The sequence below is a fragment of the Homo sapiens genome, chromosome 6 (assembly GCF_000001405.40).
Source record: "Homo sapiens chromosome 6, GRCh38.p14 Primary Assembly".
NCBI classification, from domain to species: Eukaryota; Metazoa; Chordata; class Mammalia; order Primates; family Hominidae; genus Homo; species Homo sapiens.
Window position 1 is genome coordinate 133,139,682 of NC_000006.12, and position 22,340 is coordinate 133,162,021.

Genomic DNA, 22,340 nt, shown 5'->3' on the forward strand with positions numbered 1-22,340 from the left:
ACAAAGATTAAAACCATGCAAAGTACCTTTTCCAACCACAATGGAATGAAACTAGAAGTTAATCACTGAAGGAAATATGGAAAATTCACAAATATGTAGAAAATAAATAACACTCTCAAATAACCAATGGTTCAAAGAAGAAATCACAACGGAAATTAGAAAATGCTTGAGACAAATTAAAACAAAAATGCAACATACCAAAATTTATGGGATGCAGCTAAGCAGTGATTGTAGAGATATTTATAGCTATAAATGCCTATATATAAAAGGAAGATCTCAGATTAATAACCTAACTGTGCACCTTAAGGAGCTAGAAAAAGAAGAACAAACTAAACCCAAAAGTAGCAGTAGAAAAGAAATCATTGCCCAGAAAATTCTGAAAAAGAAAAAACAAAAGAGGCAGCCTGCTCTTTGACCCCCAGCATACTGGATATGTTATACACTTAAAATAATGGCATCATCATAAGGAAATGTTATTGTAGGGTCAAAATAATAATAGATGTGTAGCTGTTAAGTACGGAATAAAGTTGACATTTGTATGTCATTTATTATGAAAGAAACTATGACTTTGGAGAACATCCATTTAACAGAACTTGACCTCAGAATTCTACATGTAGTGATTCCATAGGACAGATGTTTGCTCTGAGGTTGTAGCTTATTACATAATGTACCAATGGGGAAAATATTCATTTCAACAGTACGTGGCCAATGTTTTTCACCATAAAATTCTGTCAGAGAAACAAGAAGTCCCTGAAATATACTTTTATTTGTGCATTAAAGGATAGATTGGAAGTTTTAAGGAGAAATTGCAAGGCTTAATTCAGGTAGTTTTTTTTTTTTAAATACAGGCAAAGAAATTGGTTGACTTTCAACCTCATGAGTTTAAGAAATTGTGATTGTACCCAAAGTACTTTGAATTAACGTAAAGATGAAAAGTCCTAGACATCTGTGGGATATGGGGAAAGCTGAGTAAAATCCAATTTTGTATGTATATGGAATGATTTTTTACTGTTCAGTTTCTGGGAAGAAAAAGGCAACTTCTATTATGGCTGATATGCTGAAGAAGCTAAGTGATTATCCTAAATGAGACTGCCAGGAAAATCATTATGAGTTGTTATCATGTGCTATAAACTGTAGATAAATTTAAAACATACAAAGACATGAAAAAAGGATGAAGTTACATAACAAGTAAACAAAAATCAGATCTTTTAATTTTTCTATATACAGTCTCATTCATACAGCAGACAATGCCTAGTTATAAGTGTAACAAACTAGCTCCGCACTTTCCTCCACACCTCATTCATTGGCGGGGCTCAAAGCATCTTCAGCCACAGGGCTGGCTGTCCAGAGACATGAGCAAGAAAGGAAAAGAATCAAGACAGCAGAGGTAAGTTTGCAGGAAGGTTGTGCAGACAGGATCACAAACAGAGAATAGAACCAAAAGAGATGACTTCAAACACTGTCATGGAGAAGGGAAACTTTCTTTAAAGAGAACCATGAAGAACAAGGGTACCTGAGCAATAAAGCAATGAAGATTCTAGAATTCCCTGTTATCCCAAATCTTTTCTTTTCTTTTTTTTAAACTCTAATTCCTTTGTAGATTTCTTAAAGTCTTTCCCATTGATTTTCTTAAATTAAAACATGATTATCTTTTGGAAATGGATTCCTATATATTTAATTTTGCCTTCTTAGCTCCCAACTCAGTGTTTTACAAGTAGTAAAGACCTAATAATTGAGTGCTTGGTGACATCCAATTTAAATGATATGTAAATATTGTAGCAGTCAAATATATCCTTGAAGTATCTGACTATGATACAACTCCTGGACATTATTGCTAGATGAATAGTCATAACTACCTGTTGCCCGGTATTAAGAATTTCTGAAGAGTCCCCGAGTTTCAGCCTGTGAGATTATGAACGCCATTCTTTGCAAGCGGTTTTTTTCTCTTATAAAATCTACACTATTGAGACGTGACTTTGCAATCAGTGCACAGATTGGGCCTTCTGTAAGTGCAGCCAGGGGTTAGTGGTATCTGAGTGCTTTCTGGGGCACACCTTTCAATGCTCTGCTGCATCCACTAGGCATAGATTGCTGCATGCATTATATGGACAAAATGCATTTAAAAGTTTCTTTAATATTTTGTGACATTAAAAGTTGATGTCATTTGGCTGTGTCCCCACCCAAATCTCATCTTGAATTGTAGTTCCCATAATTCCCACGTGTTGTGGGAGGGACCTAGTGGGAGATAATTGAATCATGGGGGCAGGTCTTTCTCATGCTGTTCTTGTGATGGTGAATAAGTCTCACGAGATCTGATGGTTTTAGAAAGGGGAGTTCCCTCACACATGTTCTCCTGCCTGCTGCCATGTAAGACATGACTTCATTTCTTTTTTTTTCTTTTATTATTATACTTTAAGTTTTAGGGTACATGTGCACATTGTGCAGGTTAGTTACATATGTATACATGTGCCACACTGGTGCGCTGCACCCACTAACTTGTCATCTAGCATTAGGTATATCTCCCAATGCTATCCGTCCCCCCTCCCCCAACCCCACAACAGTCCCCAGAGTGTGATGTTCCCCTTCCTGTGTCCATGTGATCTCATTGTTCAATTCCCACCTGTGAGTGAGGATATGTGGTGTTTGGTTTTTTGTTCTTGCGATAGTTTACTGAGAATGATGATTTCCAATTTCATCCACATCCCTACAAAGGACATGAACTCATCATTTTTTATGGCTGCATAGTATTCCATGGTGTATATGTGCCACATTTTCTTAATCCAGTCTATCAGTGTTGGACATTTGGGTTGGTTCCAAGTCTTTGCTACTGTGAATAGTGCCGCAATAAACATACGTGTGCATGTGTCTTTATAGCAGCATGATTTATAGTCCTTTGGGTATATACCCAGTAATGGGATGGCTGGGTCAAATTGTATTTCTCTTTCTAGATCCCTGAGGAATCGCCACACTGACTTCCACAATGGTTGAACTAGTTTACAGTCCCACCAACAGTGTAAAAGTGTTCCTATTTCTCCACATCCTCTCCAGCACCTGTTGTTTCCTGACTTTTTAATGATTGCCATTCTAACTGGTGTGAGATGGTATCTCATTGTGGTTTTGATTTGCATTTCTCTGATGGCCAGTGATGATGAGCATTTTTTCATGTGTTTTTTGGCTGCATAAATGTCTTCTTTTGAGAAGTGTCTGTTCATGTCCTTCACCAACTTTTTGATGGGGTTGTTTGTTTTTTTCTTGTTTTCTTTGAGTTCATTGTAGATTCTGGATATCAGCCGTTTGTCAGATGAGTAGGTTGCGAAAATTTTCTCCCATTTTGTCAGTTGCCTGTTCACTCTGATGGTAGTTTCTTTTGCTGTGCAGAAGCTCTTTAGTTTAATTAGATCCCATTTGTCAATTTTGTCTTTTGTTGCCATTGCTTTTGGTGTTTTAGGCATGAAGTCCTTGCCCATGCCTATGTCCTGAATGGTATTGCCTAGGTTTTCTTCTAGGGTTTTTATGGTTTTAGGTCTAACGTTTAAGTCTTTAATCCATCTTGAATTAATTTTTGTATAAGGTGTAAGGAAGGGATCCAGTTTCAGCTTTCTACATATGGCTAGCCAGTTGTCCCAGCACCATTTATTAAATAGGGAATCCTTTCCCCATTGCTTGTTTTTCTCAGGTTTGTCAAAGATCAGATAGTTGTAGATATGCGGCGTTATTTCTGAGGGCTCTGTTCTGTTCCATTGATCTATATCTCTGTTTTGGTACCAGTACCATGCTGTTTTGGTTACTGCAGCCTTGTAGTATAGTTTGAAGTCAGGTAGTGTGATGCCTCCAGCTTTGTTCTTTTGGCTTAGGATTGACTTGGTGATGCAGGCTCTTTTTTGGTTCCATATGAACTTTAAAGTAGTTTTTTCCAATTCTGTGAAGAAAGGCATTGGTAGCTTGATGGGGATGGCATTGAATCTGTAAATTACCTTGGGCAGTATGGCCATTTTCACGATATTGATTCTTCCTACCCATGAGCATAGAATGTTCTTACATTTGTTTGTATCGTCTTTTATTTCATTGAGCAGTGGTTTGTAGTTCTCCTTGAAGAGGTCCTTCACATCCCTTGTAAGTTGGATTCCTAGGTATTGTATTCTCTTTGAAGCAATTGTGAATGGGAGTTCACTCATGATTTGGCTCTCTGTTTGTCTGTTGTTGGTGTATAAGAATGCTTGTGATTTTTGTACATTGATTTTGTATCCTGAGATTTTGCTGAAGTTGCTTATCAGCTTAAGGAGATTTTGGGCTGAGACAATGGGGTTTTCTAGATATACAATCATGTCGTCTGCAAACAGGGACAATTTGACTTCCTCTTTTCCTAATTGAATACCTTTTATTTCCTTCTCCTGGCTAATTGCCCTGGCCAGAACTTCCAACACTATGTTGAATAGGAGTGGTGAGAGAGGGCATCCCTGTCTTGTGCCAGTTTTCAAAGGGAATGCTTCCAGTTTTTGCCCATTCAGTATGATATTGGCTGTGGGTTTGTCATAGATAGCTCTTATTATTTTGAAATACATCCCATCGATACCTAATTTATTGAGAGTTTTTAGCATGAAGGGTTGTTGAATTTTGTCAAAGGCCTTTTCTGCATCTATTGAGATAATCATGTGGTTTTTGTCTTTGGCTCTGTTTATATGCTGGATTACATTTATTGATTTGCGTATATTGAACCAGCCTTGCATCCCAGGGATGAAGCCCACCTGATCATGGTGGATAAGCTTTTTGATGTGCTGCTGGATTCGTTTTGCCAGTATTTTATTGAGGATTTTTGCATCAACGTTCATCAAGGATATTGGTCTAAAATTCTCTTTTTTGGTTGTGTCTCTGCCCAGCTTTGGTATCAGAATGATGCTGGCCTCATAAAATGAGTTAGGGAGGATACCCTCTTTTTCTATTGATTGGAATAGTTTCAGAAGGAATGGTACCAGTTCCTCCTTGTACCTCTGGTAGAATTTGGCTGTGAATCCATCTGGTCCTGGACTCTTTTTGGTTGGTAAGCTATGGATTATTGCCACAATTTCAGATCCTGTTATTGGTCTATTCAGAGATTCAACTTCTTCTTGGTTTAGTCTTGGGAGAGTGTATGTGTCGAGGAATTTATCCATTTCTTCTAGATTTTCTAGTTTATTTGCGTAGAGGTGTCTGTAGTATTCTCTGATAGTAGTTTGTATTTCTGTGGGATCAGTGGTGATATCCCCTTTATCATTTTTTATTGCATCTATTTGATTCTTCTCTCTTTTTTTCTTTATTAGTCTTGCTAGCAGTCTATCTATTTTGTTGATCCTTTCAAAAAACCAGTTCCTGGATTCATTAATTTTTTGAAGGGTTTTTTGTGTCTCTATTTCCTTCAGTTCTGCTCTGATTTTAGTTATTTCTTGCCTTCTGCTAGCTTTTGAATGTGTTTGCTCTTGCTTTCCTAGTTCTTTTAATTGTGATGTTAGGTTGTCAATTTTGGATCTTTCCTGCTTTCTCTTGTGGGCATTTAGTGCTATAAATTTCCCTCTACACACTGCTTTGAATGCGTCCCAGAGATTCTGGTATGTTGTGTCTTTGTTCTCATTGGTTTCAAAGAACATCTTTATTTCTGCCTTCATTTCATTATGTACCCAGTAGTCATTCAGGAGCAGGTTGTTCAGTTTCCATGTAGTTGAGCGGTTTTGAGTGAGATTCTTAATCCTGAGTTCTAGTTTGATTGCACTGTGGTCTGAGAGACAGTTTGTTATAATTTCTGTTCTTTTACATTTGCTGAGGAGAGCTTTACTTCCAAGTATGTGGTCAATTTTGGAATAGGTGTGGTGTGGTGCTGAAAAGAATGTATATTCTGTTGATTTGGGGTGGAGAGTTCTGTAGATGTCTATTAGGTCCACTTGGTGCAGAGCTGAGTTCAATTCCTGGGTATCCTTGTTGACTTTCTGTCTCATTGATCTGTCTAATGTTGACAGTGGGGTGTTAAAGTCTCCCATTATTAATGTGTGGGAGTCTAAGTCTCTTTGTAGGTCACTCAGGACTTGCTTTATGAATCTGGGTGCTCCTGTATTGGGTGCATATATATTTAGGATAGTTAGCTCTTCTTGTTGAATTGATCCCTTTACCATTATGTAATGGCCTTCTTTGTCTCTTTTGATCTTTGTTGGTTTAAAGTCTGTTTTATCCGAGACTAGGATTGCAACTCCTGCCTTTTTTTGTTTTCCATTTGCTTGGTAGATCTTCCTCCATCCTTTTATTTTGAGCCTATGTGTGTCTCTGCACGTGAGATGGGTTTCCTGAATACAGCACACTGATGGGTCTTGACTCTATCCAATTTGCCAGTCTGTGTCTTTTAATGGGAGCATTTAGTCCATTTACATTTACAGTTAATATTGTTATGTGTGAATTTGATCCTGTCGTTAAGATGTTAGCTGGTTATTTTGCTCGTTAGTTGATGCAGCTTCTTCTTAGTCTCGATGGTCTTTACATTTTGGCATGATTTTGCAGCAGCTGGTACTGGTTGTTTCTTTCCATGTTTAGCGCTTCCTTCAGGAGCTCTTTTAGGGCAGGCCTGGTGGTGACAAAATCTCTCAGCATTTGCTTGTCTGTAAAGTATTTTATTTCTCCTTCACGTATGAAGCTTAGTTTGGCTGGATATGAAATTCTGGGTTGAAAATTCTTTTCTTTAAGAATGTTGAATATCGGCCCCCACTCTCTTCTGGCTTGTAGGGTTTCTGCCGAGAGATCCACTGTTAGTCTGATGGGCTTCCCTTTGAGGGTAACCCGACCTTTCTCTCTGGCTGCCCTTAACATTTTTTCCTTCACTTCAACTTTGGTGAATCTGACAATTATGTGTCTTGGGGTTGCTCTTCTCGAGGAGTATCTTTGTGGCGTTCTCTGTATTTCCTGAATCTGAACGTTGGCCTGCCTTGCTAGATTGGGGAAGTTCTCCTGGATAATATCCTGCAGAGTGTTTTCCAACTTGGTTCTATTCTCCCCGTCACTTTCAGGTACACCAATCAGATGTAGATTTGGTCTTTTCACATAGTCCCATATTTCTTGGAGGCTTTGCTCATTTCTTTTTATTCTTTTTTCTCTAAACTTCCCTTCTCGCTTCATTTCATTCATTTCATCTTCCATTGCTGATACCCTTTCTTCCAGTTGATCACATTGGCTCCTGAGGCTTCTGCATTCTTCACGTAGTTCTCGAGCCTTGGTTTTCAGCTCCATCAGCTCCTTTAAGCACTTCTCTGTATTGGTTATTCTAGTTATACATTCTTCTAAATTTTTTTCAAAGTTTTCAACTTCTTTGCCTTTGGTTTGAATGTCCTCCCGTAGCTCAGAGTAATTTGATCGTCTGAAGCCTTCTTCTCTCAGCTCGTCAAAGTCGTTCTCCGTCCAGCTTTGTTCCGTTGCTGGTGAGGAACTGCGTTCTTTTGGAGGAGGAGAGGTGCTCTGCTTTTTAGAGTTTCCAGTTTTTCTGTTCTGTTTTTTTCCCATCTTTGTGGTTTTATCTACTTTTGGTCTTTGATGATGGTGATGTACAGATGGGTTTTTGGTGTGGATGTCCTTTCTGTTTGTTAGTTTTCCTTCTAACAGACAGGACCCTCAGCTGCAGGTCTGTTGGAGTACCCTGCCTTGTGAGGTGTCAGTGTTCCCCTGCTGGGGAGTGCCTCCCAGTTAGGCTGCTCAGGGGTCAGGGGTCAGGGGTCAGGGACCCACTTGAGGAGGCAGTCTGCCCGTTCTCAGATCTCCAGCTGCATACTGGGAGAACCACTGCTCTCTTCAAAGCTGTCAGACAGGGACATTTAAGTCTGCAGAGGTTACTGCTGTCTTTTTGTTTGTCTGTGCCCTGCCCCCAGAGGTGGAGCCTACAGAGGCAGGCAGGCCTCCTTGAGCTGTGGTGGGCTCCACCCACTTCAAGCTTCCAGGCTGTTTTGTTTACCTAATCAAGCCTGGGCAATGGCGGGCGCCCCTCCCCCAGCCTCGCTGCGGCCTTGCAGTTTGATCTCAGACTGCTGTGCTAGCAATCAGCGAGACTCCGTGGGCGTAGGACCCTCGGCGCCAGGTGCAGGATATAATCTCGTGGTGCGCCGTTTTTTAAGCCCGTCGGAAAAGCGCAGTATTTGGGTGGGAGTGACCCGATTTTCCAGGTGCCGTCTGTCACCCCTTTCTTTGACTAGGAAAGGGAACTCTCTGAACCCTTGCACTTCCTGAGTGAGGCAATGCCTCGCCCTGCTTCAGCTCGCGCACGGTGCACGCACCCACTGACCTGCGCCCACTGTCTGGCACACCCTAGTGAGATGAACCGGGTACCTCAGATGGAAATGCAGAAATCACCCGTCTTCTGCATCTCTCACGCTGAGAGCTGTAGACCGCAGCTGTTCCTATTCGGCCATCTTGGTTCCTCCTGACTTCATTTCTTCTTTGCCTTCTTCCATGATTGTGAGGCGTCTCCAGCCATGTGGAACTGTGAGTCCGTTAAATTTCTTTCTTTTGTAAATTACCCAGCCACTGGTATGTCTTTATTAGCAGCATGAGAACAGAGTAATAGAAAAATATACTTTAATCATACAACAGCTACCAAAAGCTTTTCTCCTAGGGGAAGTAAGGCTGATACTAAATCATCTTATTGCATATCATTGACCACAGAAGTTTTCCTACATGCACAATACTTCTCTCTTCAGACTCCAAATATTATTTTTCTTTGAAATTTATTCTATCTTATTAGATATAGAAACTGAAACTTTCAGATCTTCTAGAAAATATAACCAAATCATTCCAATAGATACTTATTACATTTTTAAAAATGTAGACCCCATATTTATATTCAAAATATAACTTCTCCCCGTTTTGTGGGCATGCGTCCCCTAAATATCTACAATCACTCTTGCAAAGAGGAAAGACATAGTCTCATGCACAGGAAAATTTATTTTAAATGATGAATAACAAACTAAAATAGTAGTGGGCCATAAATTGTACTGATGGTGCACATGAGACTCAAGTTAGAATGACAAAGGATACATACTATAGAAGAGTTCAAAAGTGTGGCATGTAATTGAGTAATTAATTTGCTTAACTGCAGCTGAATTTGATTCTCCCTTGAATGACCTAAATCCATTTTTTTCTCTTCCATCCTCTATTCCTCAACATCTCCCTCCAAAACGGAAAAGACTAAGCCCTAGCAGAATGGCCAAATTGGTTTAATTATTGTTTTGTTTTGTTTTTCTAGCCTGTGACTATGGCATATAGAAATGCAAATTCAAGGCTGGGCACAGTGGCTCACGCCTGTAATCCCAGCACTTTGGGAGACCAGGGAGGGCAGATCACCTGAGGTCAGGAGTTCAAGACCAGCCTGGCCAACATGGTGAAACCCTGTCTCTATTAAAAAAAAAAATACAAAAATTAGCCAGGCATGGTGGTGTGCACCTGTAGTCCAAGCTACTTCAGAGGTTGAGGGAGGAGAATTGCTTGAACCCAGGAGGCAGAGGTTGCAGTGAGCTGGGACCACACCACTACACTCCAGCATGGGCAACAGAGCGAGACTCAATCTAAAAAAAAATAAAATAAATAAAAAATAAAGAAAAATATATCCAAAGCAATTCTTTGTAATCAGAAGTAATCTCTGAACCAATCACACAGTTAAGCCTATATATCGATGTATTCTTCAAATTACTCAGGCTCAGAGACATAAAATCACTAAATTAACATAAATCCAATACTTAACGTATGTATTCTCCAAGTTAATTAAACTCAAAGATATATGACCACTAATTAACATGGAAGAGTCGTTCATTGGTTACAAGCCGTATTTGACTTTAGAATGTTGTCCTTTTGCGGCTATGCTTCATGAAAGAAGTACCTGATCATATTTGCTTTAGTAATAACAATATTTGACACCTATAGTGTTTTATACATTTTGGCAGCCCATATATAAACAAACTCTGAATCTTTGAGCACTATTATTCTGCTGGAATATACATGGCATACAAAATTCATGAAGGTGTGGCATTGACGTCCAATGCCACTGAATTGAACAAAAATATAATAAATCTTGTTATGACTTTAATGCTTCCAGAATGTTAAGACACAACAATTTTTATCCAGAATTAAACATTTTTAGAAATGCTGGCATAAATAAGGCTTTAATTCAAAAGCTTTCCTTCTCCTTTGTAGTAAATTATAGTGATTTTTTTCCATTGTCCACTTGAAATATTTTGGTACTGTAAAACTGTTACTATAGATTTCAGAAGACCACCCTCCTGGAGGGCACTTGAATTGGTACTAGGAAAAATCAGGGGGAAGTTGATGAACCTGAGAACTTGAAGGGTGAATTATGAATTGGATGTAGAATATGTCTCGTGATGTGATATAGATGTGTCATCTACATGAATTAGAAATAAGAACATATTGGAATGCCTGGCAAGAGGTCTGGACAAAAGCAGAGAGCAGTTAGGTGTGGTCAGAGACAAACGGAATGATAGAGGTCAGCAGGTTTTGGGATCATAGCACCCGTGCTGGATCCAGATCCTGGCTTAGAGTATAAACTGAACTGCACCACCTGAAATGGAAGTTACGACTTCTGGAAAAGAAGACTGAATCATAGAGAATGAATAGAAGAGGGTAGAACATTGTAGTCATTCAAAAGGATCAAAGAGAAAGGTTATCAGGATGATCCTAGAGCTAGCATTGAATCTATAAATGACTTTGGGCAGTATGGCCATTTTCATGATATTGATTCTCCCTATCCATGAGCATGGAATGTTTTTCCATTTGCTTGTGTCTTCTCTTATTTCCTTGAACAGTGGTTTGTAGTTCTCCTTGAAGAAGTCCTTCACATCCCTTGTAAGTTGAATTCCCATGTCTACAAACATGACAAAATTACCTTCCACCCCTACTACACAACTAAAGAAATCCTAGGCCTATTTCTCCTCCTCCTCGCCCTAATAACACTGGTACTATTCTCACCCGACCTTCTAGGCGACCCAGACAACTATACCCTAGCCAACCCCCTAAACACCCCACCCCACATTAAACCCGAATGTTACTTTCTATTCGCCTACGCAATCCTACGGTCCATTCCCAAAAAACTAGGAGGCGTATTAGCCCTCCTATTATCAATTCACAATTTGTAGCAATTGTGAATGGGATTTCACTCATGATTTGGCTCTCTGTTTTTCTGTTATTGGTGTATAGGAATGCTTGTGATTTTTGCCATTGATTTTGTATCCTGAGATTTTGCTGAAGTTGCTTATCAGCTTAAGAAGTTTTTGGGCTGAGGCGATGGGGTTTTCTAAATACACTATCATGTCATCTACAAACAGAGACCATTTGACTTTCTCTCTTCCTATATGAATACCCTTTATTTCTTTCTCTTGCCTAATTGCCCTGGTCAGAACTTCCAATACTATGTTGAATAGGAGTGGTAAGAGAGGGCATCCTTGTCTTGTGCTGGTTTTCAAAGGGAATGCTTCCAGCTTTTGCCCATTCAGTATGATATTGGCTGTGGGTTTGTCATAAATAGCTCTTATTATTTTGAGATATGTACCAACAATACCTAGTTTATTGAGTGTTTTTAGCATGAACAGGTGTTGAATTTTATCGATGGCCTTTTCTACATCTATTGAGATAATCATGTGGTTTTTGTCATTAGTTCTGTTTATGTGATAGATTACATTTATTGATTTGCATATTTTGAACCAACCTTGCATCCCAGGGATGAAGCCGACTTGATCATGGTGGATAAGCTTTTTGATGTGCTGCTGGATTCAGTTTGCCAGTATTTTGTTGAGGATTTTCACGTTGATGTTCATCAGGGATATTGGCCTGAAATTTTCCTTTTTTTGTTGTGTCTCTGCAGGGTTTTGGTATCAGGACGATGCTGGCCTCATAAAATGAATTAGGGAGGATTCTCCTTTTTCTATTGATTGGAATAGTTTCAGAAGGAATGGTACTAGCACCTCTTTGTATCTCTGGTAGAATTCAGCTGTGAATCCGTCTCGACTTGGGCATTTTTTGGTTGGTAGGCTATTAATTACTGCATCAGCTTCAGAACTTGTTATTGGTTTATTCAGGGATTCGATTTCTTCCTGGTTTCGTCTTGGGAGGGTGTATGTGTCCAGGAATTTATCCATTTCTTCTAGATTTTCTAGTTTATTTGTGTAGAGGTGTTTATGGTATTCTCTGATGGTAGTTTGTATTTCTGTGGTATCAGTGGTGATAGCCCCTTTATCATTCTTTATTGTGTCTATTTGATTCCCCTCTCTTTCCTTCTTTATTAGTCTGGCTAGTGATCTATCTATTTTGTTAATCTTTTCAGAAAACCAGCTCCTAGATTCACTGATTTTTTGAAGGGTTTTTTTTGTTTCTCTATCTCCTTCAGTTCTGCTCTGAACTTAGTTATTTCTTGTCTTCTGCTAGCTTTTGAATTTGTTTGCTCTTGCCTCTCTAGATCTTTTAATTGTGATATTAGGGTGTCGATTTTAGATCTTTCCCCCTTTCTTATGTGGGCATTTAGTGCTATAAATTTCCCTCTAAATACTCCTTTAGCTGTGTCCCAGAGATTCTGGCATGTTGTGTCTTTGTTCTCATTGGTTTCAAAGAACTTATTTATTTCTGCCTTAATTTTGCTATTTACCCAGTAGTTATGCAGGAGCAGATTGTTCAGTTTCCATGCAGTTGTGTGGTTTTGAGTGAGTTTCTTAATCCTAGGTTCTAATTTGATTGCACTGTGGTCTGAGAGACTGTTTGTTATGATTTCCGTTCTCTTGCATTTGGTGAGGAGTGTTTTACTTCCGATTATGTGGTCAATTTTAGAATAAGTGTGATGTGGTGCTGAGAAGAATGTATATTCTGTTGATATGGGGTGGAGAGTTCTGCAGATGTCCATTAGGTCTGCTTGGTCCAGAGCTGAGTTCAAGTCCTGGATATCCTTGTTAATTTTCTGTCTCGTTGATCTGTCTAATATTGACAGTGGGGTGTTAAAGTCTCCCACTATTATTGTGCGGGAGTCTAAGTCTCTTTGTAGATCTCTAAGAACATTCTTTATGAATCTGGGTGCTCCTGTATTGGGTACATATATATTGAGAATAGTTAGCTCTTCTCTTTGTATTCATCCCTTTACCATTATGTAATGCCCTTCCTTGCCTTTTTTGATCTTTGTTGGTTTAAAATCTGTTTTACCAAAGACTAGGATTGCAACCTCTGCTTTATTTTGCTTTCCATTTGCTGCTAATATTCCTCCATCCCTTTATTTTGAGCCTGGGTGTGTCTTTGTACATGAGATGGGTCTCCTGAATATAGTATACCGATGGGTCTTGACTCTTTCTCCAATTTGCCAGTCTGTGTCTTTTAATTGGGGCATTTAGCCCACTTACATTTAAAGTTAATGTTACGTGTGAATTTGATCCTGTCATCATGATGCTAGCTGGTTATTTTGCACATCAGTTGATGCAGTTTCTTCATAGTGTCGTTGGTCTTTATATTTTGGTATGTTTTTGCAGTGACTGGTACTGCTCCTTCCTTTCCATATTTAGTGCTTCCTTCAGGAGCTCTTGTAAGGCAGGCCTAGTGGTGACAAAATCCCTCAGCATTTTCTTCTCCGTAAAGGATTTTATTTCTCCTTCACTTATGAAGCTTAGTTTGGCTGGATCTGAAATTCTGGGTTGAAAATTCTTTTCTCTAAGAACGTTGAATATTAGTCCCCACTCTCTTCTGGTTTGTAGGGTTTCTGCAGAGAGATTCACTGTTAGTCTGATGGGCTTCCCTTTGTGGGTAATCAGACCTTTCTGGGTGCCCTGAACATTTTTTTCGTCGTTTCAACTCTGGATCTGATGATTATTTGTCTTAGGGTTGCTCTTCTTGAGGAGTATCTTTGTGGTGTTCTCTGTATTTCCTGAATTTGAATGTTGGCCTGTCTTGCTAGGTTAGGGAAGTTCTCCTGGATAATATCCTGAAGTGTATTTTCCAACTTGGCTCCATTCTCCTCATCGCTTTCAGGTACCCCAATCAATCGTAGGTTTGGTCTTTTCACATAGTCCCATATTTCTTGGAGGATTTGTTTGTTCCTTTTCATTCTTTTTTCTCTAATCTTGTCTTCATGCTTTATTTCATTAAGTTGATATTCAATCTCTGATATCCTTTCTTCTGCTTGATTGATTTGGCTATTGATACTTGTGTATGCTTCACGAAGTTCTCGTGCTGTGTTTTTCAGCTCCATCAGGTCATTTATATTCTTCTCTAAACTGGTCATTCTAGTTAGCAGTTCCTGTAACCTTTTATCAAGGTTTTTAGCTTCCTTGCGTGGGGTTAGAACATGCTCCTTAAGCTTGGAGGAGTTTGTTATTACCCACCTTCTGAAGCCTACTTCTTTCAATTCGTCAAACTCATCCTTCATCCAGTTTTGTTCCCTTGCTGGAGAGGAGTTGTGATCCTTTGGAGGAGAAGAAGCATTCTGGTTTTTGGAATTTTCAGCATTTTTGCACTGGTTTTTCCTCATCTTTGTGGATTTACTTACCTTTGATCCTTGATGCTGATGACCTTTGGATGGGGTTTTTGCATGGGTGTCCTTTTTGTTGATGTTGATGTTACTGCCTTCTGTTTGTTAGTTTTCCTTCTAACAGACAGGCCCCTCTTCTGTGGGTCTGCCGGAGTTTACTGGAGGTCCACTCCAGACCCTGTTTGCCTGGGTATCACCAGTGGAGGCTGCAGAACAGCAAAGATTGCTGCCTGTTCCTTTCTCTGGAAGCTTTGTCCCAGAGGGGCACCCACCAGATGCCAGCCAGAGCTCTCCTATATGAGATGTCTGTCGACCCCTGCTGGGAGGTGTCTCTCCATTAGGAAGCACAGGGGTCAGGGACCCACTCGAGGAGGCAGTCTGTCCCTTAGCAGTGCTCTAGTACTGTGCTGGGAGATCTGCTGCTGTCTTCAGAGCTGGCAGGCAGGAATATTTAAGTCTGCTGAAGCTGTGCCCATAGCCACCCCTTCTCCCTTGTGTTCTGTCCCAGGGAGACAGGAGTTTTATGCATAAGCTCCTGACTGGGGCTGCTGCCTTTCTTTCAGAGATGCCCTGTCCAGAGAGGAGGAATCTAGAGAGGCAGTCTGGCTACAGTGGCTTTACACTGCAGTGCATTCTGCCTAGTTTGAACTTCCAGGCAGCTTTGTTTACACTGTGAGGGGAAAACCGCCTACTCAAGCCTTAGTAATGGTGGGTGCCCCTCACCACACCAACCTTGAGCAACCCAGGTCGACTTCAGACTTCTGGGCTGGCAGTGAGAATTTCAAGCCAGTGGATATTAGCTTGCTGGGTCCATGAGGGGTGGGACCTGCTGAGCAAGACGACTTGGCTTCCTGGCTTCAGCCCCCTTTCCAGGGGAGTGAATGTTTCTGTCTCGCTGGAGTTTCAGGTGCCAGTGGGGTACAAAACAACAACAACAACAGCAACAACAACAATAAAAAAACTCCTGCAGCTAGCTCAGTGTCTGCCCAAATACCTGCCCAGTTTTATGTTTGAAACCCAGGGCCCTGGTGGTATAGGCACCCGAGGGAATCTTCTGCTCTGTGGGTTGCAAATCCATGGGAAAAATGTAGTATCTGGGCCAGATAGCATTGTCCCTCAGGGCACTGTCCCTCATGGCTTCCCTTGGCTAGGGGAGGGAGTTTCCCAACCCCTTGCACTTCCCGGGTGAGGCAATGCCCCAACATGCTTCTGCTCACCCTCCGTAGGCTGCACCCACTGTCTAACCAATCCCAATGAGATGAACCGGATACCTCTCTTGGAAATGCAGAGATCACCCACCTTCTGTGTTGGTCTCGCTGGGAGCTACAGACCATAGCTCTTCCTATTTGGCCATCTTGCCAGATCCTCCCAATTTAGCATAATTTTTAAAAGCCCTAGGGTTCCTGGACTGGCAAATAAGCATTGGCTTCCACTTAAAGTTCAGCAGCACGTTAACCCATAACAAGAGGGTCAGCTTGTCCTTTGAAGTTTCAAAGCCAAGCATTGACTTCTCTAGCTACAAAAGTCCGAGATGGCATATGCTTGCAATAGAAGGCTGTTTTGTCTACATTGAAAATCTGTTGTTTAGCATAGCCATCTTCATTAGTGATCTTAGCTAGATCTTCTGAATAAACTTGCTGCAGTTTCTATATAAGCACTTACTGCTTCACCTTGCACTTTTATGTTATGGAGACAGCTTCTTTCCATAAACCTCATGAACCAACATCTGTTAGTGTCTAACTTTTCTTCTGCTCTTCCTCACCTCTCTCAGCCTTCATAGAATTGAAGAGAATTAGGCCCTGCTCTTTATTAGGTTTTGAAATGGAATGTTGTGGCTGGTTTGACCTTCTATCCAAACTACTACAACTTCCTCCGTATTAGCAATAAGGCTTTCACTTTCTTTTAATTTGCGTGTTCACTGAAGTAGCACTTTCAGTGTCATTCAGGAACTTTTCCATTGCATTTACAACTTGGTTAACTGGTGCAAGAGGCCTAGCTTTCAGCCTATCTCAACTTTTGACATAGCTTCCCCACTAAGCTTAATCATTTTTGGCTTTTGATTTAAAGTGAAGGAATCTTCCTTTTGCTTAAACACTTAAAGGCTATTGTAGGGTTATTAGTTGATTTAATTTCAATTTGTTGTGTCTCAGGTAACAGAAAGAGGAGGAGAGACAGTGGAATGAATGGCTGGGGTGGTGGAGGAATCAGAACACACCTAACATTTATGGGTTAAGTATACCGTCTTACATGGGCACAGTTTGTGGTGCCTCAAAACAACTACAATAGCAACATCAAAGATCACTGATTACAGATCATCATAACAGATATAATAATAATGAAAAAGTTTGAAATACTGTGAAAATTACTAAAAATGTGACACAGACAAAATATGCAGATATTGTTGGAAAATGGTGACGCAGCGTTGCCATACACCTTCAATTTGTAAAAAATAAAACAAAAACAATATCTGTGAAGCACAATAAAATGAGCTTTGCCTGTATACATAATAACAAGAGCTTTATAGATGATCTACAAAATTGTTTGAAATACCAAGTTATCAAAAGAAGAATTGATAGCTACATGGGATGAGAACTAACATTTACTGAGGTCTTTTTATATGTTATTACATTTTTCCTAGCAACATTTGTGCAAGGTAGGTGATTAATGATGAATTTTGGAGAAAGAAACTAAAGCTACAAAAGATGATGCAACTTGTTCAAGATTTGAATTTAGATCTGTCATTTGGGTTAGCTCCAGAGTGACAAATGCAGATGTTACCTCCCTTACTTGACGTTGATTTCCATGAAACTGTGTATGCCTCATGCCTGTTAACTCATAATATCTATAGCTAAAAGGATAAAAGTAAAACCTTAGGAGAATGGTGTTGAAGCACTTCACTTTTCAGAGCTTTAGGAGTCCTTAGAGTTGCCTCAGAAACCATCTTAACCAGCAAAAGAAGAGCTGAGCTGATGCGGCTCTAAATCACTACCCTCACCTTAACCAGAGAAACTTCATTTTGTCTTTTTATGTATTGGAATTTATGCTTATATTTTATTTGGAGGAAGGATTTCACTCCTACAAAAAGTTTAAAAAATAGATACTAGGATTACCAACAGGCAAACAACTTTCCTGAAAATTTTCAATGGACGATTCAACTATTGTAGAAAAAAAAACCTTTTTTTTGAAACCCAGTAATTTGCTATGGCAAGAAACAAATATTTCTTGAAAATATGCATGCCATATTCTGTCAGTTGATCATAACTTTTTGTTATAATCAATGAGAGATGATCTTGTTACATGGGAGGAGATACATTTTTGAAAAACTAAGACCAAGCACCTACTGGACCCAAAGACTGGTACATGAGAACCTCTGTGAAATGCAAATGTGATCCTTCAGTTGTTGTCAAAGTACTGGCTAGAAAAATGGTTAATGGTGAAAATCGGCAATAGCAGAAAAACAGGATACTGATGAAAATGCAGTGCATGGTGTTGCTGCTCAAATAACACTTCTTGACTACAGTGGCTTTATCTACATGCATGGATGAATTAGAGAGGGAAATAAGACTAAGCTTCATTTCTCTGTGCAGTCTAGCAAGGTCTTCTCAACTGAGATTTCAAAAACATGTTGGAAGAAAGCTTACTATACTTTTATCCATTAACTCTGAAATATTAGTTAAAAACATTATATTCCGAAAATATTACATTTAGCAAATCAGCCATTTGAGTGTTTCACTTTGCCAGATTTTCTGAGCTTTGGTGACCCATCTTTGTACATTAAATAGGAAAAAAAAGAATGATATATTTTAAGGCAGATTTTTGCTTCACTAAAAGCTAAAATGATTAACTTGCGAACAAAGACCAAGTTGGACAAGAGCCTTTTTAATTTTGGAAATTTTTGTGGGAAGGCCTGGAAATAAAAAGTGACAAGTGAATGAGTTGGAAATTACAACAATAATTACACAACTTTGAACTTACCATCATAAATTGTAGATACTTGTTAGAATGCATACTGCAGTTTCAGCAAAGCAATGCTAATGGGGGTAATAAATCTTAAAGTGAAGCACGCAAGTATTTAAAACAAGCATTAGACTAACCAAAGAAAATATTTTAAATGAGCAATGCTAAATGAATCAAGTCCTTTCCAGGTAGCAGGAGTCTCCTGGATCTCATGGTCTGGAGTATACCAAATGGTTTTTACATGTGCTGATGTCCTATTTGTGAGTATTAGTAATGGAGCAAAAAATAATAATGAGATAAAACATTAAGGAGTAATAAAAGCTCTAATACTACTTGGGCCAATGAGAAAAGGTAGAAAATTAGTAGGAAGTTTTAAAATGGAACAATAAAAGAGAAAGGAATTATAAGATACCTGGATCTTTCTTACAAATTCATCCACACAAAAGTGGACTTTTTTTTCCTGCGACCAGTTACAGAATTAAATTTAAAAGTTTAAAAACATATAATGGCATCATCACTAAGTATTAAAAATAAATATAAATAAACCTATAGTGTGCATATTATGTATAAATTCTTGGGCCAATGAACAATAATGAAATAATTGGTATATATAATGCTGTCATTCATTCCTTCAGAAAGAGATGTTCTTCTGTGGTTCTCTATATTGATCCCTAACCATAAGGGAAGTAGAGCAATTGTTTTGAGAACATTAAGGTAGAACAAAAAGTAAAGTCTGCATAAGTTTTCTGCACCATTTTACAGATGTAAACAGCGCATAATTATTTAGTTTGTATTTCTCATTTTCCTTTCTCACCAGTACAATGGAATGGCTAGTTTAAACCATTTAAGCCATTTCAGCTATTTCCTCCATGGTATATGTTTGTGATGAGAAGTCTGGCCTAGTTCAATAAGAAGGTTTACAAAGTTGGCAGACTCAGATGCTGTCTGTAAAGGGTGTGTTTAAGGGGGGGTGTCAAGTAGGGGCAGTGTGTATGTATGGGTGGAATTTACAATGCTGAAAATTTTAGAAAAAAGGGGAAATGCCTTTGCTAACTCAATCATCTTCTGCTGACAGTAGCCTAGCCTTGGGGAAAAGGAGTGCATTTATGTGATTCTTTTCTCTAGTAACCTTCAAGGTGTTTCAAACGTGAATTTTCCTCTTTTACTTGACAGAATGCAATGAGCCAGATTTCCCCTTTCTCTTTGGAGGACTTGCTGTTCCCAGAGCTGATGAATCTATGCAAAGCAGCCCCACAGAACAGCAAAAGGCCATCCCAGAGCTTCTCACACAGAGTCTCATTTTCAAATGCCAAGAAAGGAGAGCAGATGGTCTATCTGTACTTTGCATTTTCTTCCTCCTATAGGGGAAGTGTTCAGAGCCCAGTTCTAACATTCTGATACTCTGTATTTCTACACATCAGCAAATAGTAAAGTGCATTTTAATGCCATGACTGTGACTGAGCTCATTAGAATGCTTCCTCTGTCTCTAGAGCCTTTATCTCCAGCTCAACCTATATATGTCATAGAGCCTCAAATGTTATAGCGCTGAATAAATACATGTTGGATTAATAAATGAGTCTCTCAAACACCATAACCACACACAGGTTAACTGTGCAAAGATCAGCTAGGTTGCTAATCTGGTTCAGGCTCTCCAAGGACAGGTGGATCTGAACCTTTTCTCTCTGAAATACACGAAGTAGGAAGGGTCATTTTCCTTCATATGCATGTGATACAGGGAACTAAATACACAGGAGCAATGGGGAAGGTTTACCAGAGGGGAAGGCTGTTTAAAAGCACTGTGATAGCCCCTTTGGCTATTGTGAATTCATCAGAGCTAACAAGTCAGATAGGATGTGCTCAATAAGTATTTGTTGTTGATTAATGACTTGTTGATTACAGAAAATGAGCAAGGGTTTCTAGTCAGTCTGTTTACACATTGTATTGATTTCCTCCTAAGCCTTCAATACTTGCCAAGTTAATTTTCAGGGGAACAGCAAGCAAGTCACTGATGCTCTGGGGGTTGGCAAATAAATACAAAAAGTTAACAGAGTTCTCCTAAGCAGTATCTTGATGTTCAGTGTTGACCTGCAAGGGAGAGGACTAGAGAGGACACTAGCAAAGCACAAGCAAATCTGTTTTCCCCTGAAGCTGGACTGTCGTCTGCAAGGCTCTTGCCATGTGTCATGTCCAAAAACCCAAATGGCTTTTGCTAGGGAATACTATGCAAGTGATGTCATGAGCTCATCTTGAGTCAAATTAACAAGTGATTATATGAAGCTGTGATTTTGCAAAGTGAAACTCACTAAGCAGTGCTACCATTGATCATTTTCTTTTCCCGTGGGGATATGCAAATTGAAACAACAATTATTTTTGAAAGGTACATTCTTTAAAGAGCTTCTCAATGAAAAATTTACAGTAGTCCTTTGCCTTCTCTGTGGCTTTCCTTTCCAAAGTTCAGTTACCTGCAGTCAACTGCAGTCCAAAAATAATAAATGAAAAAGTCTAGAAATAAACAATTCATATGTTTTCAATTATGCCCCATTATGAGTAGTGTGATGAAATCTCTCACCATCCCACTCCGTTCTAGGCAGGACATGAACCACTCCTTTGTCTAGTGTATCCATGCTGCATACACTATCCACCAGTTAGTCACTTGGGAACCCCCTTGCTTATTAGATTGAAAACACATAGCATGTATAGGGTTCGGTACCATCTGAGGCTTCAGGCATCCACTGAGGCTCTTGGAACATATCCCCTCAGATAAAGGGGCACTTGTTGTATTCATAAAGTTGCAGTTTTCACATTAATGTCATAGCATTTCACATTTGTTCCTATTAATGTATTGAGTATTTAAATGAAAATGAAAGAATGGTTTAAGACCTAGAGTCCCAAATTTTGTTGTACAAAGATTCTGTGTTAAGTGTCAACAGTTCCCTCTGCTGCCACATAATGTAATCAGTGATATTTTTGTTACTCCATGAATGAATTCAGAGATGCTTTTAATTATTAGTATCTAGTTAATCACAGCATAAATTCATTATATGTGAAGCTAACACCGCATAAAGATAATGCTTGACTTTATAGGGAAGTGCATTGTGGACTATTCACAATCACTTGCTTGCCTGCTGGATTTTGTGGCCACAGCTAGAGACACATTAATCTAGAGCATGAACCAACCTGTGTAAGATAGATCTCATCAGTGTTTCAGGAGGCCATTAGACTGCCTTCTGTAGGAGAAACAAAGGAAATGGTCTCTCTGGATAAGCCTCCTTGCAGAATGCTGTATGTGTACACAGTGGGGGCAGAATAAGACCACAGGCACTCTGTGTGGGCATCTGAAGGCATCAGTCATGGAGTTTTCACCTCATCCATCATTGACAGTTTGCTACCCTTACCAAAAAAAAAGCCACATAAACCTCTGTCCATTTACATCAATCCAAATACTTTTGGGGTTCAATTCATATTTTGGATAGGTTGATTGGAAACATTCTTCACAATAATAACTTAAAGAACATATTATATATATGTTTATTTTTATAAAGATTTTTGGAATTGTTCTAGCCTGTTAGGTGAGAGTAATTAAATTTTATAAGTTATGTATATGATAACAAAACAAATATGGAATGAACAAACTTATAATCTGTTACTTTTTTCATAGATTTAGAACAGATATTATGCTAAAATTATGAAACACAAAGGTAAAATTTCTCTATTGATACTGACAAAAAGAATCTATTAAGAGAAATATGAAAATGTAGAATCTCACTGATGCATTGTGGAAATGTCTGATAGCTGATAGCTGGACATGTGCCCTTTTGTCCATGAGAGATCCAAAATCTTTAGCTTGCCAGCAGAATAATAAATAAGAACGTTT

General features: G+C 39.2%; 1 pseudogene, besides 2 other annotated features; it reads left to right on the forward strand.

Annotated features, from left to right (window-relative positions):
* Positions 9,922–10,091: an enhancer, noted in NCBI's record as "experimental_89898 CRE fragment used in MPRA reporter constructs". NCBI's record gives its function as "activates a minimal promoter by MPRAs in K562 erythroleukemia cells, with activity observed for both the introgressed and non-introgressed 6:133470827 variant alleles {active_cell/tissue: K562}" and the evidence as "EXISTENCE:reporter gene assay evidence [ECO:0000049][PMID:34662402]".
* MTCYBP4 (MT-CYB pseudogene 4) lies at positions 10,866–11,147 on the forward strand (annotated as a pseudogene).
* Positions 21,330–21,499: an enhancer, noted in NCBI's record as "experimental_89904 CRE fragment used in MPRA reporter constructs". NCBI's record gives its function as "activates a minimal promoter by MPRAs in K562 erythroleukemia cells, with activity observed for the non-introgressed 6:133482235 variant allele {active_cell/tissue: K562}" and the evidence as "EXISTENCE:reporter gene assay evidence [ECO:0000049][PMID:34662402]".